Below are 19,248 nucleotides of genomic sequence, written 5' to 3' on the forward strand. Positions count from 1 at the left end.
TGTCTGAAAAAAAAAAAAAATAGTTAAGAGAAAATTGAAAATTCAGTTCTTCATTCTCACCAGCCACATTTCAAGGGCTCAACAGCCCATGTGGGTGGCTAGCAGCTCCCATGTTGGACAGTGCAGAGTAGAGCAAGCCCGCCATTGCAGAATGTTTGATTGGACCATGACTGAATAGTCTATTGCAGTGACCCCCAATTTTTTTTTTAGCACCAAAGACCAGTTTCCATGTATTTGTGGGGGGAAGTTTCAGTATGATTCAAGTGTGTTACATTTACTGTGTACTTTATTTCTATTGTTATGAACATTATAATATATAATGAAATCCTTATACAACTCACCATAATGTAGAATCAGTGGGAGCCCTGAGCTTGTTTTCCTGCAACTAGATAATCCCATCTCCGGGTGGTGGGAGACGGTGACAGATCATCAGGCATTAGATTCTCATAAGGAGCACACAACCTAGATCCCTTCCACATGCAGTTTACAATAGGGTTGGTGCTCCTATCAGAATCTAATGCCACTGCTGATCTGATAGGAGACAGAGCTCAGCCAGGGGGATCAGCTGTAAATACAGATGAAGCTTCACTCATTAGCTCACTGCTCACCTCCTTCTGTGCAGCCCAGTTCCTAACAGGCCACAGACCACTACTGGTCTGTGGTCTGGGGGTTGGGAACCTCTGGTCTATTGGATAACACTAGCTTTGAGGGTACTGATCAGCCAAAGAAGCACTGAGATGATTTGTCCTCCATTAATAAGAATGATGGACTTTTTTTTTTTTTTTTTTGAGACAGAGTTTTGCTCTTGTTGCCCAGGCTGGAGTGCAGTGGCACCATCTCGGCTCACTGCAACCTCTGCCTCCCAGGTTCAAGAGATTCTCATGCCTCAGCCTCTCAAGTAGTTGGGATTACAGGTGCCTGCCACCATGCCTGGCTAATTTTTGTATTTTTAGTAGAGTCGGGGTTTTGCCATGTTGACCAGGCTGCTCTTGAATTCCTGACCTCAAGTGATCCACCTGGCTCGGTCTCCCGAAGTGCTGGGATTACAGGCGTGAGACACCGTGCCTGGCCAGATGCACTTTTTTTGAGCATTTAGTTCCAAGCACCTTCCCTGCATTTTCTCAGTTAATCCTCCCAGTGACTCTTTGAAGCAGGGACTATGACAATCGTCATTTCACAGATGGAGCAACTGAGGCACAGAAAGGAGGTCAATGGCCATGGTCACCCAGCTGAGGAAGGATGGAGCTGGCTGAGATCCTGTTCTGGGGATCTAACTCTGCAGCCTGCATTCTGGGCTGCTGTTTTCTCCCATGTTGCTATCTGATGAGCACAGCATGGGCTCAGAGTACAGACAGGAGGAACCAGCTAATAAGGAGAGGTCTGGGGTGAAGGCTGGTGCCTTGGGGAAGAAGAGAGAGGTCCCATTCTAAAGGGATGGCATTGGAAGTTCATAGTGATAAAGCAAAGCCAACAGGTTTTGGGGCTGGGAGTTAAACACACAGCTCTGGTTTCTGCCTTTTCACAGTGGTGATGAATGGGCACTGAGACCCTCTCGAGCTAAAGTTGTCATCACTGCTCTTCATAGTCTGAAGGTGCATGAAATGGTCAACTTTCTTCCAAAGGGCTTTTATGCCTAAGTCTGTGGTTAGTGTATAAACAGATATTTACTGAAGTCCTGCTGGGTACAGACACTGTGGCCAGCCCTGAGGCTACAGTCTAGATGAAGCCAGTCTCTGTCCTCATGGAGACCTGTCTATTGATAAGAAAAGAGAAAGCTCACTGAGCATTGACCCTGTGCCCACTGCTTTTGATGCATCTCTCATTTAATCCTTCTATCAAATCTGTGAAATAAACACATCACCATCATCCCTATTTCACATTTAGGGAAACATATGCTTAGAGAGGGTAAGTAACTTGGTCAAAGTCACACAGCTTCGAACTCTCATCCCACAGGTGCAGGAATGGGAGGCAGCAGCTGGGGAAGCCAGGGTCTCTGGCAGTCCTTGTCTCTGGGCGGTGATCCAGAGAGAGAGAGAACACGATTGTCTCAGCACTGGGTCTTCTTCTGAGTCGTCTTGAAGGAGCAATTCCAGAGCATCTCGGTGTTAAACATCATGTTGTGAATGACTCAGTGATCTCTGACCCAGAGAACTTGGGGATAAAGGAGGGGAGGTATGGAGAAGCTCTTCGAATGGATGTTACCGGGGTGTCAGTGTTCCTTGAGGCCACAGGCTATTTGTCACCAAATTGAAGGGGTGGCCTGCCCCTCCACACCTGTGGGTATTTCTAGTCGGGTGGGATGAGAGATGGAGAAAAGAAATAAGACACAGAGACAAAGTACAGGGAAACAACAGTGGGTCCAGGGGACCGGCACTCAGCAGACCAGGACTTGCACGGGCACTGGCCTCTGAGTTCCCTCAGTTTTTATTGATTATGATTTTCATTATTTCAGCAAAAAGGAATGTAATAGGAGAGCAGGGTGATAATAAGGAGAAGGTCAATAAAAAACATGTGAGCAAAAGAATCTGTATCATACTTAAGTTCAAGGGAAGGTACTATGACTGGACTTGCACGTAGGCCAGATTTATGTTTCTCTCCACCCAAACATCGCAGTGGAGTAAAGAATAACGAGGCAGCATTGCTGCAACATGTCTCACCTCCCGCCACAGGGCAGCTTTTCTCCTAGCTCAGACTTGAACAAATGTACAATCGGGTTTACACCGAGACATTCAATTCCCAGGGGCAAGCAGGAGACAGTGGCCTTCCTCCATCTCAACTGCAAGAGGCTTTCCTCTTTTACTAATCCGCCTCAGCACAGACCCTTTACAGGTGTCAGGCTGGGGGACAGTCAGGTCTTTCTCATCCCACGAGGCCATATCTCAGACTATCACATGGGGGGAAACCTTGGAAAATACCCTTCTTTCAAGGGCAGGGCTCCCTGTGGCTTTCCACGGTGCATTGTGCCCCTGGTTTATTGTGACTAGAGAATGGCAATGACTTTTACGAAGTATACTGCTTGTAAACATTTGGTTAACAAGGCACGTCCTGCACAGCCCTAGATCCCTTAAACCTTGATTTTATACAACACATGTTTTTGTGAACTCCAAGTTGGGTCAAAGTGGTTGGGGCAAAGTGGCTGGGGCAAAGCTACAAATGAACAACATCTCAGCAAAGCAATTGTTAGAGTACAGGTCTTTTTCAAAATGGATTCTCTTATGTCTTCCCTTTCTACATAGACACAGTGACAGTCTGATCTCTCTTTCTTTTCCCTACACAAATAAAGAGCCCAGTGCCTTTTCTCATTGCTCAAGAGATTGAAGGGGTAGGAAGAAAAGATGTTAAGTTATAAACATGTTTCAGTTTTGGTACCACTTGAGCCAATTTACGTTTTGAAGAGGAAAGAGTCTTGCCTACAAAGTCAGCCCCTGGGTTTTCCTTCTGCTTATGGAATCCAGGCAATGGGCAAAGAGAAAAAGAAAACTATGGAATCAACCAGATGCAGTGGCTCATGCTTGTAATCTTGGCACTTTGGGAGGTTGAGGCAGGTGGACTTCTTGAGTCCAGGAGTTCAAGACCAGCCTGGCCCACATAGTGAGACCCCGTTTCTACAAAAAATACAAAAAGTTGCTGAGCATGGTGGCATGCACCTGTAGTCCCAGTTACTTGGGAGGCTGAGGTGGGAGAACTACTTCAGCCCAGGAGGTTGAGGCTGCAGTGAGCCATGATTGTGCCACTATACTCCAGCCTGGGTGACAGAGTGAGGTCCTGTCTCAAAAGAAAACAAAAAAGATAAGAAAAAGAAAACTAGGGCATCTGGACAGAATAAGTTTATATATATAATAAAGAACTGAGATAGAACTGGGTTGACTGAATAATTATTTGAATTGCTTTTGAGTGAATTTTTCCTATTGGAGTCTACCTTTGTTTTTGTGTGTGTGTGCGTTTTTTGTTTTTTGGTTTTTTTTTGGTTTAGTTTTGTCTTTGTTTTTTTTTCAGACTGGGCCTTGCTCTGTTGCCCAGGCTGCTGGAGTGCAGTGGCATGATCTCAGCTCACTGCAACCTCTGCCTCCTGGGTTCCAGCAATTCTTCTGCCTCAGCCTCCCCAGAAGCTGGGACTACAGGGCATGTACCACCAAGCCCAGCTAATTTTTGTATTTTTAGTAGAGATGGGGTTTCACCATGTTGGCCAGGCCTGCTCTTGAACTCCTAGGCTCAAGTGATCCACCTGCCTCAGCCTCCCAAATTGCTGGGATTACAGGTGTGAGCCCCTGCGCCCAGCTAGAGTCTACTATTCTTTGAATTCACTGCAGTGCAAAGATGGGACATGTGGAACTCCAGGTGTATATGGGTTATGTAGAGATGCTAGGGTATGATTAAGGAAGGAAAGATATGAGAAGCCTGCAGAGCATGCTTTCCCAGACTGTATGGGCCCTGGGAAAGGAGAAGTGGACAGAAAGGGAACACTGGGTACTCTGGAAGAGAAGATTCATCCAAGTCATCAGGGAAGTTACTAATGCAAGGGAAAAAATTTAGAGACAGGGCCAAACACGCTTCTTCCAAGTCCTTTCTGTCCGCTCAGTCACCTCTATGCTTATTTTTCTTCTTTCCTCTAAGTAGTGTCATGCGTTTTCTTCCTATTCCTAGTCACTCCTAGTCAACTAACTCCTCTCTTTACCATCTTTTCATCAGAACTTGAAACCTCCTCTCCTTCATGTATTAGTGATCATGTTTCTCCATATTACTGCTAGAAACAAGAATTGAAACCTGGAAAAGCTGCATTTGAGAACCAGATCTGCCTCTGCTAGCTATTTGAGAAGTTATTTTGTTCCATTCTTTTTGTTGTTGTCGAAACAGGGTGTCACTCTGTCGCCCAGGCTGGAGTGCAGTGGTTCAATCTTGGCTCACTGCAGCCTCAATCTCCTGGGCTCAATCAATCCTTCCACATCAGCCTCCTGAGTAGCTGAGACTACAGGTGTGTGCCACCACAGCTGGCTAATTTTTAATGCTTTTTTTTTGTTTACTTATTTTTTTTTTTGTAGAGATGGGGTCTTGCTATGTTGTGTAGGCTGGTCTCAAACTCATGGGCTCAAGCGATCCTCCTGCCTTGGCCTCTCAGATGAAATGGAAAAAGTTCCGTTGTCCCCCTCGAAGGGCATGCGATGCGGGTGTGGTTCATTTATTCAGTGCCCCACTGTTCAAACCTCTAGGGGAGCATGCAGACAGGCAGGGAGCCCCACGGCAGTGTCCAGGGGTGAATGTTTATAGTTGAAGCCCCAGTGGGCATGTGTTACAGGGTGCTCTTTTAGTTTAGCCGTCTGTAGGTAGCTTGTGTTAGTCAGCTCAATTAGACCCCCGCCTTATTGCAAGGACAGAAGGCTCTCTTTGTCCCGGGGTTCTTGCCTTGGTATACCGGACGTGGTGCGATCTCAGCTCACTGCAAGCTCCGCCTCCTGGGTTGACGCCATTCTCCTGCCTCAGCCTCCCAAGTAGCTGGGACTACAGGCACCCACCACCACGCCTGGCTAATTTTTTTGTATTTTTAGTAGAGATAGGGTTTCACTGTGTTAGCCAGTATGGTCTGGATCTCCTGACCTCGTGATCTGCTCGCCTCAGCCTCCCAAAGTGCTGGGATTACTGGCGTGAGAGTGTAAGGTTTTATTGAGTGGAAGTATCTCTCAGCAGATGGGGGAGCCAGAAGGGAGATGGTTTACCCCTGGAGTCGGGTGAGTGGCCTGACTCTTCTCTGACTGTCCCAGCCAAACTCTGCGTTGTTCTGCCAGTCAGTGGCCTGCGGTGTGTCGGTGCCCATTGGTGCGTTCCTCTTGACGTCCAGCACCCTTGTGTTCCTCCGCTGATGTGCTCCTCTCGAAATCCAGCCGCCTATGTGTCTGCCTGCTAGGGTCTCAGGGTTTTTATAGGCATAGAATGGGGGTGTGGCAGCCAGGGTGGTCTTGGGAAATGCAACATTTGGGCAGGAAAACAAAAATGCCTGTCCTCACCTAGGTCCGTGGGCACAGGCCCTGGAGTGGAGCCCTAGCCAGGGACCACACCCTCCTCTACCCATTGCTTCCTTTCCTCACTTCCATATCATTTAAAGGGACCACATTCTTCCCTTCTGAGCACTTCCCTTCTGTATCACAAAGTGTTGGGATTATAGGCATGAGCCACTGGTCCCAGCCAATTCCGTTCTTTTAATGCAAACTAGAAAATAGGTGTTCAGAAAGGCCTGCCCTATCCACCTCAGGGAGTTGCTATGAAGATCAAATTAGATCATGTGCAACAGAAGTTTAGAAAAGATTCCAAAAGCACTGTGCAACGAGAATGTATTTTTAAACTCCACTGAGTGGACTTAAAACTATGATTTTTTTCCTTCTTTCTTTTTTTGGGTTGAGACAGAGTTTCACTCTTGTTGCCTAGGCTGGAGCGCAATGATGCCATCTTGGCTTACTGCAACCTCTGCCTCCCAGGTTCAAGTGATTCTCTGTCTCAGCCACCCAAGTAGCTGGGATTACAGGCGCTCACCACCATGCCTGGCTAATTTCTTTCTTTCTTTTGTTTTTGTCTTTTTAGTAGAGATGGGGTTTCATGGTGTTGGCCAGGCTGGTCTCGAACTCCTGACCTTAGGTGACCCACCCACATTGGCCTCCCACAGTGCTGGGATTAAGGCTTGAGCCACCGCACCCAACCTGTGTTTCTTTTTTAAGCAAGAAAACAAATGCCTTTCCCCAGCACTCACTAAACAAATCCCTCTTTTTTTTCCATAGGATTCTTATCCTTCTTGCCCCACTGCAAACAATCTATTTTCTTTTGGCCCTTCCGTCCATCTGTGAAAGGGTCAGGCTTTCTAGCTAACCCTTAATCAAATATTTTTGATGACCACAGTGAAGACAGTACTTATTATTTTTTTTGAGACGGAGTTTCGCTCTTGTTGCCCAGGCTGGAGTACAATGGCACAATCTCGGCTCACTGCAACCTCTGCCTCCAGGGTTCAAGTGATTCTCTTGCCTCAGCCTCCCAAGTAGCTGGGATTACAGGTGCACAACACCACGCCCAGCTAATTTTTGTATTTTTAGTAGAGATGGGGTTTCTCCATGTTGGTCAGGCTGGTCTCGAACTCCTGACCTCAGGTGATCTACCCACCTCAGCCTCCCAAAGTGCTGGAATTACAGAGGTGAGCCACCCTGACTGGCCAAGACAGTGCTTATTAATGCCTGAGATGCATTCAGGAGCACATGACCTGGCTGTGACTGTTCTAACAAAGTTCCCCAAATGGGTGGCTCAGGACAACAGAAAGTCATTCTCTCCAGTTCCAGAAGCTTGATGTCTGAAACGGCAGGGCCGTGCTCCCTCTGAAGGCTCTAGGGATGAGTCCTTCCTTGCCTCTTCTGGCTTCTGGTTGTTGCTGGCAATCCTTGGCTTGTGGCCACATCATTCCATTCTCTTCCTTCATTCTCATGTGACCTTCTCCCCTGTGTGTCTCTGTCTCCTCTCCCCATCAGGAATGCCATTATTACTCGATTTAAGGTCCACGCTATTCCAATATGACCTCTTTGTAATTAGATCTGCAGTGACCCTATTTTCTTTTTTTTGAGATGGAGTCTTGCTCTGTTGCCCAGGCTGGAGTTCAGTGACACAGTCTCAGCTCGCTGCAACTCTGCCTCCTGGGTTCAAGTGATTCTTCAGCCTCAGCCTCCGAAGTAGCTGGGATTACATGTGCACGCCCCCATGCCTAGCTAATTTTTGTGTTTTTAGTAGAGACAGCGTTTTGTCATGCTTGCCAGGCTGGTCTCGAACTCCTGACCTCAAGTGATCCTCCTGCCTCAGCCTCCCAAAGTGCTAAGATTACAAGCATGAGCCACCGTGCCCTGCCCCTATTTTCTAATAAGGTCACATTCTGGGATTCCTGGTGAATGTGAATTTTTGGAGGACAGTATTCAGTCTAGCAAAAGGCAGAACATCCTCATTTTCTTCCCTACCTCAGAAATAAAGAAGTTAACTTCAACCCTCTGAGAGAGGCTTCCTGAGCTTCCAACCAAATATTACTCTCAGAAGAGCACTAAGGGTTGTGCACAGCACGTGGCCAGCCCGTTCTCAGAGTCTGTCAAGTTTAAGGTGAACGCTAATCCTGAATGAGTTTTAAAATGTATTTGGCATATCCTCGTCATTGTAAAATGTTCTCACATCATGATGGCTGGGGCTTCCCTCTCAGGTGTAATCTGCGAAGTCAGACGTGACACAGCCTGGGTGAGGTGGGCCAAGCTGGGAACTGGGTTAGGAGAGAAGCTGGGGAATGATCTCCAAGGTCTCAGATCCCAAATTGGCTTTAGCCTGATTCACCCAGAGGGATCTCATAAAAAATGCACATTCCGGGGCCCACCCCAGACCTAATGAATCAGAATTACCTGGGAAGGAGCCTGGGGAGCTCTGTTTTCAGAAGCAGCCCAGCCAAATCCTACGGTCAGACAGGGCTAGGAAACCGAGCTCAGTCTAGCGCGGTAGTTCCCAAACTCGTTTGTGCTTCAAAAAATACAGATGCTGATGTCCAGGCATGGTGGCTCATGCCTATAATACCAGCAGTTTGGCAGGCTGAGGCGGCAGTATCGCTTGAGCCCAGGAGTTTGAGACCTGCCTGGAGAACATAGGGAGATAATGTCTCTACAAAAAATTTAAAAATTAACCAGGCGTTGTGGTGCCCACCTGTGATCCCAGCTACCGTGGAGGTTGAAGTGGGAGGGTTTCTTGAGCCCAGGAGTTGGAGGCTGTCGTGAGCTATGATTGTGCCACTGTACTCCAGCCTGGGTAACAGAGCGAGGACCTGTCTCAAAAACAAAACAAAAAACGGATGCCATTTCCCATTCCAGAGGTTGAGGTTTAATTGTTCTTGGGTGTGGCCTGGGTTTTGGAAGATTTAAAAAAATCCCAGGTGACCCTAAAGTGTAGATGAGTTTGGAAACCACACATCGAAGGCACACTTGAATGGGGGAGCAGTGAGGTGGCATGGGCTAGCCGGCCAGAACCCAGGGGTGGGGCAGTAGGAACCAGCATTGCAGAGGCCATGAAGGCTGGGAAGCATAGTGTGTGGGGCCCATAAAAATGCTTCGGCATGAATGCTTTAGACCTAAGACAATTGGCTCCCAAATGTGTAAACTGCAAGGCTGAACTGAATGCATGTTTAATGCTTTACAACATTGTCAAGTGATCAGCTGCAACTCCATTCTGAGGGCATGATGCCTGAGATATGCCTGTAATGGGGATTGATTTTAATGAATTTAATATGGTGTGGAGTGGGGCCTTCAAAATAAAGATGTCAGTTCTAAGTTGGTTGCAGAGGTATGGGCAAAGGTCTTAAAACCCCATGGTGAGCAGATGGCCAATCCTGAACACCCCAATCTTAAAACAGGGCTTTTTTTCCAAGAGAATTTTTGAAAATATCTCCTATTTCGAGGGGAGGAACGCTGGCAGGAGAGAGCCAGAGTTAAGCCCACCTGAGAGGGGGTTGGCAGGCAGGGGTCTGCCTGGTCCTTACTGAAGCTTGATACTCAGGGTGAGCTTCCTAAACCAATGCAGATTTGCTGGCCCACTGAGCCTCCCAGATGAGAACCTGCATTTCAACAAGGTCCTTGGTGCAGCAAAGTTTGACATATACTGGGCTAGAACACCCAGGGGACACAAAGGTTCTCTGAAACGTAAGGAAAATAGGCAGGGTGTGGTGGCTCATGCCTGTAATCCTTGTATTTTGGGATGCCAAGGCGGGCGGATCACCTGAGGTCAGGAGTTTGAGACCAGCCTAGATCAACATGGTGAAACACCATCTGTACAAAAAATACAAAAAGTACCTGGGTGCGGCCGGGCACAGTGGCTCATGCCTGTAATGCCAGCACTTTGGGCACCCGAGGTGGGTGGATCACGAGGTCAAGAGTTCGAGACCAGCCTGGCCAACCCTGTCTCTACTAAAAATACAAAAATTAACTTGTGTAGCTGTGCGTGCCTTTAATCCCAGCTACTCAGGAGGCTGAGGCAGGGGATTTGCTTGAACCTGGGAGGTGGAGGTTGCAGTGAGCCAAGATTATGCCATTGCACTCCAGCTTGGGCAGCAGAGTGAGACTCTGTCTCAAAAAACAAAAACTTGCAGAGTGAATTTAGGAAACCATGAAGTCCACAGTTTGATCCAATGCCTTCCTTTTTCTCTTTCTCAAATATTTTGAGCCAGGTACTATCCTAGATTGTCTTGTGATATTTACAATCTAGGAGAAGGCAGGAGAGAGAACTAAGAACAGAGAGCGTGTTCTGAGATGTCTGCTGTGTTTGCAGGTACCTTCCCTCAATTTCCCTACTCACTGGCCATGCTGGAAAACAGGTCTTGGTGCCATATTTGTACCGTGGTACTCCCCTCCCTATACTCAATTGGTTGGCCAGAAGCCCAATTGTCATTCTCTCTCTCTCCCTCTCCCTCTCTTCCCTCCCTCCCTCCCTCCCTCTCCAAGATATCCAGTAACTGACTGATCAGCTGGTGGTGGGCTCTGCTGGCTGCCATGATGGGCCACCAGCAAAAAGGGAAAATTGGTTGTGAGTGAGAGAAGCAGAGATAAGAAAGTCCACAGGGCTGGTAAGAAAGACCATGGGCTTCCGGGTGCGGTGGTTCACGCCTGTAATCCCAGCACTTTGAGAGGCTAGGATGGTCGGATCACGAGGTCAGGAGATCGAGACCATCCTGGCTCACACAGTGAAACCCCATCTCTACTAAAAATACAAAAATTAGCTGGGTGTGGTGGTGGGTGTCTGTAGCCTCAGCTAATTGGGAGGCTGAGGCAGGAGAATGGCGTGAACCCCAACAGGTGGAGCTTACAGTGAGCTGAGATTGCACCACTGCACTCCAGCCTGGGCGACAGAGTGAGACTGCATCTCACAAAAAAAAAAAAAAAAGAGACCATGGGCTTCTGAGAGCAAGAAAGAGGAATTTTGGTTTCTGTAACTGCAGTTTCCATTCTCTCATGGCCTCTCATTTGTTTCTTGTGCCCATGAGTTTGCCTGTTAGAGACAAGGTGTTCTCCTTGTCCTCAAGCTCATGCAAATGGGCTTCTGTTGCTTACAATCTTTGTTCCCAGATATGGATGGTTACTGATGCTCTACTAAATGCTGAAAAAAAGTAGAGTGGAAGCACAGAAAAGCAAGCTTCTCTGAGGGGGTGACGTTAGAGCCCAGTTGGGAGGCAGGAGTAAATGTGCACCATGATTTTTTAGGATTAAAACCAAGTATCTCACTGCTTGGGCACATGTAGATAGAGGTGATTTAACAGTAAACTGTCCCAGTTGTACCCATTGTTAGTTATCTCACCACAGGGATTATGTAGCCCTGAGTTTGCTTAGTGCTTATTTATTTTAGGTTGTTGTTTATCCAAACCTCCTAAATGATACGTGTTTGGAACAAGTAACAGCATTGTTCCTTGATGTTGTGGACCAACCACTATTTTATTACTCAAGACTGGGTAATTTATAAAGAAAAAAGAGGTTTAATGGGCTCACAGTTCCATGTGGCTGAAGAAGTCTCAAAATCATGGTGGAAGGAAAAAGGCACGTCTTACATGGTGGCAGACAAGAGTGATGAGAGCTATTTTGGTCATTGTTCACTGGCCATAGAATTTACTTCTATATTTTGAAATAAGATGAGAACCAGGCACACAAGATGGTTACAGGTCCGTCTTTTGTTTTTGATGATGATGATGATGATGATGATGATGATGATGAAATGGCTGACATGGCTGATGACTTGCTTTCTCTCATCATCTCAGACCTAGATTTTTGGCTGGACTATTGGCTTGGGATAGATGAAAATCATTCCTTGTATCCCCTTATCTTAAAGTCAAGACTGAACCAGCCTCCAGACTCAAGCCTTCATGGGAGTTCAGATACCATGAGGAATGGGTGTCCCTGCAATATTGTCATGGCTGTCAAAAGTGTTATTGGAGCTGGGCAAGTGGGCGGTCTCCTGCCATTCCATCCTGCTTAGATTTCCCATTCAACACCAATCTTATTTCCTTTTTTTTTTTTTGACAGAGTCTCGCTCTGTCTTCTAGGCTGGAGTGCAGTAGTGGGATCTCGGCTCACTACAGTCTCCACCTCCCAGATTTAAGTGATTCTTGTGCCTCAGCCTCCCAAGTAGCTGGGATTGCAGGTGCACACCATCAAGCCTGGCTAATTTTTTTTTTTTTTTTTGCATTTTTAGTAGAGACAGTGTTTCGCCACGTTGGCCAGGCTGGTCTTGAACTCCTGACCTCAAGTGATCCACCTACCTCGGCCTCCCAAAGTGCTGGGATTACAGGTGTGAGTCACTGTACCTGGCCACATTTCCTCTTATACCATAAGTCATTGCCTGCAGATGTGTTTTCTCCATTAGTTTGCAAAAGCTTCCTGAGAGTAGGTCTGTGCCTCATTTATTCTGGAATCTCCCTGGCACAAAGCACAGGGCTTTATCTTCAGTAGGCATCCAGCAAATGTTTAATTTCATTCAACAGCTCCTCTTACCACTGCCCCCACCTTATTTGCAGGTGGCTAAGTACAATCGGAACAAGTAGGTATCATAAGATTTAGTCCAGAGTCAATTTGAGAAGAAATTACTTTAGTGATATGAAAAGAACCATGCTATTTAGTCAGAATACTTCTGAGAGTATCCCGTGTCCAAGCATTTGCTGAATTTCTACTAATTTTCAGGTGGAACAGTATGGTTGCAGAGAGTCCATTTGGACATAGATACACTTTCATGCATTCATGTCTTTAACAATAATTTGTGGCCCTACTGTGTTTGTTCACTAACTCCTTTGAACCTACCACGTAAGCTATATCTTTATTTTCCTTGTAAGTTGGAAGGTCCAATGCTTCATTAAGCTCACATGCCTGAAACTAATGAAGAAAATATCTCGTTAACCAGCTAGTATAAAAGTAGCCACCAAATCAAGTCAATCACTTGCCTTAAATCAGCCCAGTACTCCCATCTTGAGCGGAGAAGCCCATTCTGAATCACAGTCAAGACATTGATGGAAAAACAGCTCCCTCTGGGGATCAAAACCACGCTCACTCCAAATCCTCCTCCCCAGAGTTCTACTCATTGCTCACCCACTGAACCCAGAACAACCAGAAGTGTTTGAAGTGAGGACGGATAGCTCCGTGTACCAATCGGAATTTAAAACTGTATCAATTCCTGCTATAGAAATGAGGCTTCTCCCCAGGACCAGCATTCCACGAAGGCAGCCCTTCTCTAGATGGAGAAAACAGAACCTGAAGGCACCCGTTTCCCTAAACTGCTCTCGCTCATGTGTAAGTACAAATGAAAAATGCTGAGGCTGCTTCTGTTGGCATTGCTTTTTAATTACGGCCATCAATAAATCATTTTATCCTTGAACAAGACTTGAGAATGACCCGAAGGCAGAGGCACAATTCCTTAGGAATTAGGCCAACAGAGAATGGGCTCTCTCTCTTCCCACCTCTTCTCTTACTCTGCTGTCAGAAACAGAAACGTTCTCTGTGAGTAGCTGGGAGTAGACGGCCACACTTGAGTTCCATCTGGGGGTTCTGTTAACACAGTTTTACCCCAGCCTGCCTTGATGGCCACTGCCACACAAGCTGCATCTGTTCTTTCTTCTGCGCCTTTTATTATTTCGTTGTTTTTCCTCTTTCTAATGTAGTGAGCTGAATTGTGGCTTTGCACAAGATATATCCAGATCCTTGTGCCTAGAATCTGTGGAGGTGGCATTATTTGGAAAAAGGGTCTTTGCAGATGTAATTAAGGATCTTGAGATTATCCTGGAGGATTTTAGGTAGGCTGTACATCTGAAGACAAGTGTCCTTATAAGAGGACACTTTTGTCCAGGCACAGTGGCTCATGCCTGTAATCCCAGCACTTTGGGAGGCCGAGGCGGGTGGATCACCTCAGGTCAGGAGTTCGAGACCAGCCTGACCAACATGGAGAAACCCCATCTCTACTAAAAATACAAAATTAGCCGGGCATGGTGGCACATGCCTGCAATCCCAGCTACTGGGGAGGCTGAGGCAAGAGAGTTGCTTGAACCCAAGAGGAGGAAGTGGCAGTGAGCTGAGATCATGTCATTGCACTCCAGCCTGGGCAACAAGAGTGAAACTCCGTCTCAAAAAAAAAAAAAAAAAAGGACACTCCTTTTCATGCGCATCCGTGTGAAGAGACCACAAAACAGGCTTTGTGTGAGCAATAAAGCTGTTTATTTCACCTGGGTGCAGGTGGGCTGAGTCCAAAAAGAGTCAGCGAAGGGAGATAGGGGTGGGGCCGTTTTATCAGATTTGGGTAGGTAAAGGAAAAAGGGGTGTTGTCTGGCAGGCAGGAGTGGGGGTCACAAGGTGCTCAGTAGGGGAGCTTTTGAGCCAGGATGAGCAAGGAGAAGGAATTTCACAAGATAATGTCATCAGTTAAGGCAGGAACAGGCCATTTTCATTTCTTTTGTGGTGGAATGTCATCAGTTAAGGCAGAAATCGGCCATCTGGATGTGTACATGCAGGTCACAGGGGATATGATGGCTTAGCTTGGGCTCAGAGGCCTGACGTTCCTGTCTTCGTACATTAATAAGAAAAATAAAATGAAATAGTGGTAAAGTGTTGGGATGGTGAAAAATTTCTGGGGGTGGTATGGAGAGATAATGGGCGATGTTTCTCAGGGCTGCTTTGATTAGGGGCAGCGTGGGAACCTCGAGTGGGAGAGATGAAGCTGAAGGAAGATTTTGTGGTAAGGGGTGATATTGTGGGGTTGTTATTTAGAATTATTGGTGATGGCCTGGATACAGTTTTGTATGAATTGAAAAACTAAACGGAATAAGAGAAGGAGAAAAACAGGTATTAAAGGACGAAGAATTGGGAGGACCTAGGACCTCTAATTAGAGAGTGCCTAAGGAGGTTCAGCATAGCCTTGCCAGCAAAGATTATTTATTTAAGAGTTAAGAGTGGTGGTTTGGGGATAGCACCAGGAGATATCACCTGTGATGGCTTGGAGAAACAGTGTAAACCACCAGTGTAAACAAGAGCAGGGCATATATGAGTAGTTGAGAACGGTGAATAGGAGTATGACTAGACAGAAGATAGTAGGGATGACAAGTTTTTTGGGGCACAGTCCAAGTTGGTCTTGTGTCTGGAATGAGACTTGGGCCTAATAAAAAGGAGCGTCTATACAGGAGATCCAATGGGTATCGGGGGACCTGCCCCGATAATCACGTAGTTTCTTTTCTATTTTCCTAAGTGTCAACTGGCTTGAGAAATAAAAGGACAGAGTACAAAAAAGAGAAATTTTAAAGCTGGGCATCCGGGGGAGACATCACATATTGGTAGGATCCGTGATGCCCCACAAGCCACAAAAACCAGCAAGTTTTTATTAGGGAGTTTCAAAAGGGGAGGGAGTATACGAATAGGTGTGGGTGACAGACATCAAGTACTTAACAAGGTAATAGAATATCACAAGGCAAGTGGAGACAGGGCAAGATCATAGGACCACAGGACCGAAGTGAAGTTAAAATTGTTGATGAAGTTTTGGCACCATTGTCATTGATAACATCTTATCAGGAGACAGGGTTTTGAGATCAACCGGTCTGACCAAAGTTTATTAGGCGGGAATTTCCTCTTCCTAATAAGCCTGGGAGCACTATGGGAGACTGGAGTTTATTTCACCTCTGCAATCTCGACCATAAGAGACAGGTACGCCCGGCGGGGAGCCAGTTCAGAGACCTACCCCTAGGTGTGCATTCTCTTTCTCAGGGACGTTCCATGCTGAGAAAAGGAATTCAGCGATATTTCTCCCATTTGCTTTTGAAAGAAGAGAAATATGGCTGTTCTGCCCGGCTCACCGGCGGTCAGAGTTTAAGGTTATCTCTCTTATTCCCTGAACAATTGCTGTTATCCTGTTCTTTTTTCAGGGTGCCCACATTTCATATTGCTCAAACACACATGCTGTACAATTTGTGTAGTTAATACAATTATTACAGGGTCCTGAGATGATATAAATTCTTCTCGGCTGACAGGATTAAGAGATTAAAGCAAAGACAAGCATAGGAAATCACAAGGATATTGATTGGGGAAGTGATAAGTGTCCATGGAATCTTTACAATTTATGTTTAGAGACTGCAGTAAAGGCAGGCATAAGAAATTACAAAAGTATTAATTTGGGGAACTAATAAATGTCCATAAAATCTTCACAATCCACGTTCTTCTGCCATGGCTTCAGCCGGTCCCTCCGTTTGGGGTCCCTGACTTCCCGCAACAAATGGGCTGTACCTTGTAGCATTCCGAAGACAGGCCTGAATTCTGAGAAGGGAAAGTGGTAAAAGTATTGTCCAGTCCTTTTTAAGTTGGTGGCTGAGCTTGGTAAGGTGTGTTTTAAAAGACCATTAGTCTGTTCTACCTTTCCTGAAGACTAAGGACTGTAAGAAATATAAAGGTTTCACTGAATACTAAGAGCCTGAAAAAATGCTTGGCTGACTTGATTAATAAAGGCCGGTCTGCTATGGGACTGTATAGACGTGGGAAAGCCAAACTGAGGAATTACGTCTGACAGAAGGGAAGAAATGACCGTGGTGGCCTTCTTAGACCCTGTGGGAAAGGCCTCTACCTATCCAGTGAAAGTGTCTACCTAGACCAAGAGTTATTTTAGTTTCCTGACTCGGGGCACGTTGAGTAAAGCTAATTTGCCAGTCCTGGGTGGGGGCAAATCCCTGAGCTTGATGTGTAGGGAAGGGAGGGGGCCTGAAGAATCCCTGAGGAGTAGTAGAATAGCAGATGGAACACTGAGAAGTTATTTCCTTGAGGATAGATTTCCACGATGGAAAGGAAATGAGAGGTTCTAAGAGGCAGGCTAGTGGCTTGTACTATAGCATAGCCTGCTTTTGCTGGTGTGTGGCAATTAGGCCTGGTGGAACTGCCATCAATAAACTAAGTGTGGTCAGGGTGAGAAACTGGGAAGAAGGAAATGTGGGGACATGGGGTGAATGTCAGGTGGATCAGAGAGATGCAGTCATGAGGGTCAGGTGTGGTATCAGGAATAATGTGGGAGGCTGGATTGAAGTCCGGGCCAGGAACAATGGTAATTGTGGGAGACTCAACAAAGAGTACAGCAGAAGGAGCCGGGGAGCAGAATGTATATGTGGCAGGTGTGAGGAAGAAAATACATTTTGGAAATTATGAGAGCTGTAGAGAGTGAGTTGAGCATAGTTTGTGATTTTAAGGGCCTTTAAAGTATTAGGATGGCAGCAGCTGCTGCACAGAGACATAACAGCCAACCTAAAACAATAAGGTCAAGTTGTTTGGACAAAAAGGCTACAGGATGCCATCCTGGTCCTTGTGTAAGAATTTCAACTGCACAGCGCTGCACTTCAGCTGTGTGTAATGAAAAGGGTTGGGATGAGTCACGGAGAGCTAGTGTAGCAGGACGAGTTGCAGACAAAACTCCTCAGACACCAGATTAAAGAAGGAAGAGGTTTTTTTATTCAGCCAGGAGCGTTGGCAGACTGGTGTCTTAAGAGCCGAGCTCCCGGAAAAAGAAATTCCTAGCCCTTTTAAGGGCTTACAACTCTAAAGGGTCTACGTGAAAAAGTCATAATAGATCAAGTAAGCCTGAGGAACGTGACTGGGGGCTACAAACATCAGCTAACAGAACAAAAAGTTTTTACAGTGCTTTCTCATACAATGTCTGGGATTTACAGATAACACAGGTAGTTTTGGTCAGGGGTTAATATTATTGTTGTTTTAACCACCGGGGCCAGGTGGTGGCGCCAAGGTCGTCTAGCTATTTATTTTACTTCTGTTTTTTCCAACTTTTTGCTTTCTCCCTTTTTTGCTGTCTTACAAACTAGGGAAAAGGGGAGGTTGGGGAGAAACTGGGAAGGACAACAGGAGAAGTGGTGGTCTCATACCATATTTCCCCCCTTTGAGCATTTTCACTTTTTAGTGGGAGTTCTCACTCTCATCTTTACTTTTTGAGTCTATTTGTGAGATAGAGCGATAGTGATTTATATAACACACGTGTGCTGAAGTTTTCTGATGAACCAAAGTAGCTACAAAACCTTTGATCATTTGAAAAAGCAAGGGTAATACACAGGGGAGCAGCAAGCAAGTTCCTATCACTAGCAATACACCTACAATGAGGGTTTTAAATCCTCTTATAGCTGGAAACCATTTTTCAAATAAAGACTCAGGATTAAACTCGTGCCAAACCTGTACAGGCACATGTGCCACCTTTGTCATGTCCCTGACTATGTTTTTAACCACCTGTCCTTGATCATTTATTTGTAGGCAGCAATTGGTTAAGTTAAATTTTCTACAAACTCCTCCTTCAGCTACTAGCAAGTAGTCTAAGGCCAGTCTATTCTGATAGATAGCATTCCTCATTTGGGTTTCTTGCCAAGCTAAAACAGTCAAAGCTCTGCCAGTTTCATTAGAAATTATTTCTAAGATGACCTGCAACCGTATGATCCAATTGAGCATGTAGATGGGTTCGGTATCCCCATGAGCCATCTTGTGCCCATGTGGCAGGCCCATAATACTGAATGATCCTTTCACGGGGCCACTCATTATCTTTCCAGTTTCCTATAACTATGCCTTTCTTTTCTCGGGAGGCGTAGACAGAGAAACCTAGCAGCTCACCCATTTTTATGGGTAATAAGAAAAAGGATGGCTTAATAGTGCCAATAACACAACTGTCTGCCCATTTATTAGGTAACCGAAAGTAGGCTCTGTGCCTACATATCTAGTATAGTCCAGAGGGAACTGTCCAGTCCTGATGAGATTCTGGATGAGCCTAAGCAGTTTTTAATTTAGAAAATTTACTAAATGGATTCTTTTCAGTGTGGTTTAGGTCCTACTAAGTAATTGTCTTTGTTGTGCTGTTATACAACTTCTGTCCTATACAATTAGGCTTTCCTACAGGGATGATAAAGTCTTTCCCTTCTCTAGCTATACAGTATTGTCTAATAATTGAGGTTTTTAGGACCTAGAAGTTGCTAGCTTCGGCCTTCTAAACTGGAATTATATCAGGAGCTGGATCAGTAGGCACCAACTCTCGGGCTTCCCAAGGCCATCTGTCTCCGATAGTGGTTCCTCCGCGTACATAACAAGAAGTAACATTAAGTAAGAAAATTACATTTTCTGCTAATTGGAGAAACAAATTTTTTGTCTTTTTCAGAAGTTCTGGTGCTGGCAGATTCAGCTCCTCATAAAAGGTTTGAAATACTGGTTTGGGAGAGCACTT

At 45.8% G+C, this 19,248-nt stretch overlaps 1 protein-coding gene and 1 pseudogene across 1 annotated transcript in view, besides 1 other annotated feature; both read right to left on the reverse strand.

The window, feature by feature from the left end:
- LOC112268076 (translation initiation factor IF-2-like) overlaps positions 1-19,248 on the reverse strand; it is a 154,152-nt gene that overhangs the window by 15,728 nt on the left and 119,176 nt on the right. The gene's annotated exons all lie outside the window — the stretch shown is intronic.
- ENPP7P7 (ectonucleotide pyrophosphatase/phosphodiesterase 7 pseudogene 7) overlaps positions 1-19,248 on the reverse strand; it is a 60,830-nt pseudogene that overhangs the window by 15,195 nt on the left and 26,387 nt on the right.
- Positions 15,251-15,836: an enhancer, noted in NCBI's record as "NANOG hESC enhancer chr11:67610458-67611043 (GRCh37/hg19 assembly coordinates)". NCBI's record gives its function as "activates a minimal SCP1, AML or CMV promoter by ChIP-STARR-seq in primed H9 embryonic stem cells {active_cell/tissue: H9 hESC(primed)}" and the evidence as "EXISTENCE:reporter gene assay evidence [ECO:0000049][PMID:30033119]".

Source organism: Homo sapiens, chromosome 11, assembly GCF_000001405.40.
Source record: "Homo sapiens chromosome 11, GRCh38.p14 Primary Assembly".
NCBI classification, from domain to species: domain Eukaryota; kingdom Metazoa; phylum Chordata; class Mammalia; order Primates; family Hominidae; genus Homo; species Homo sapiens.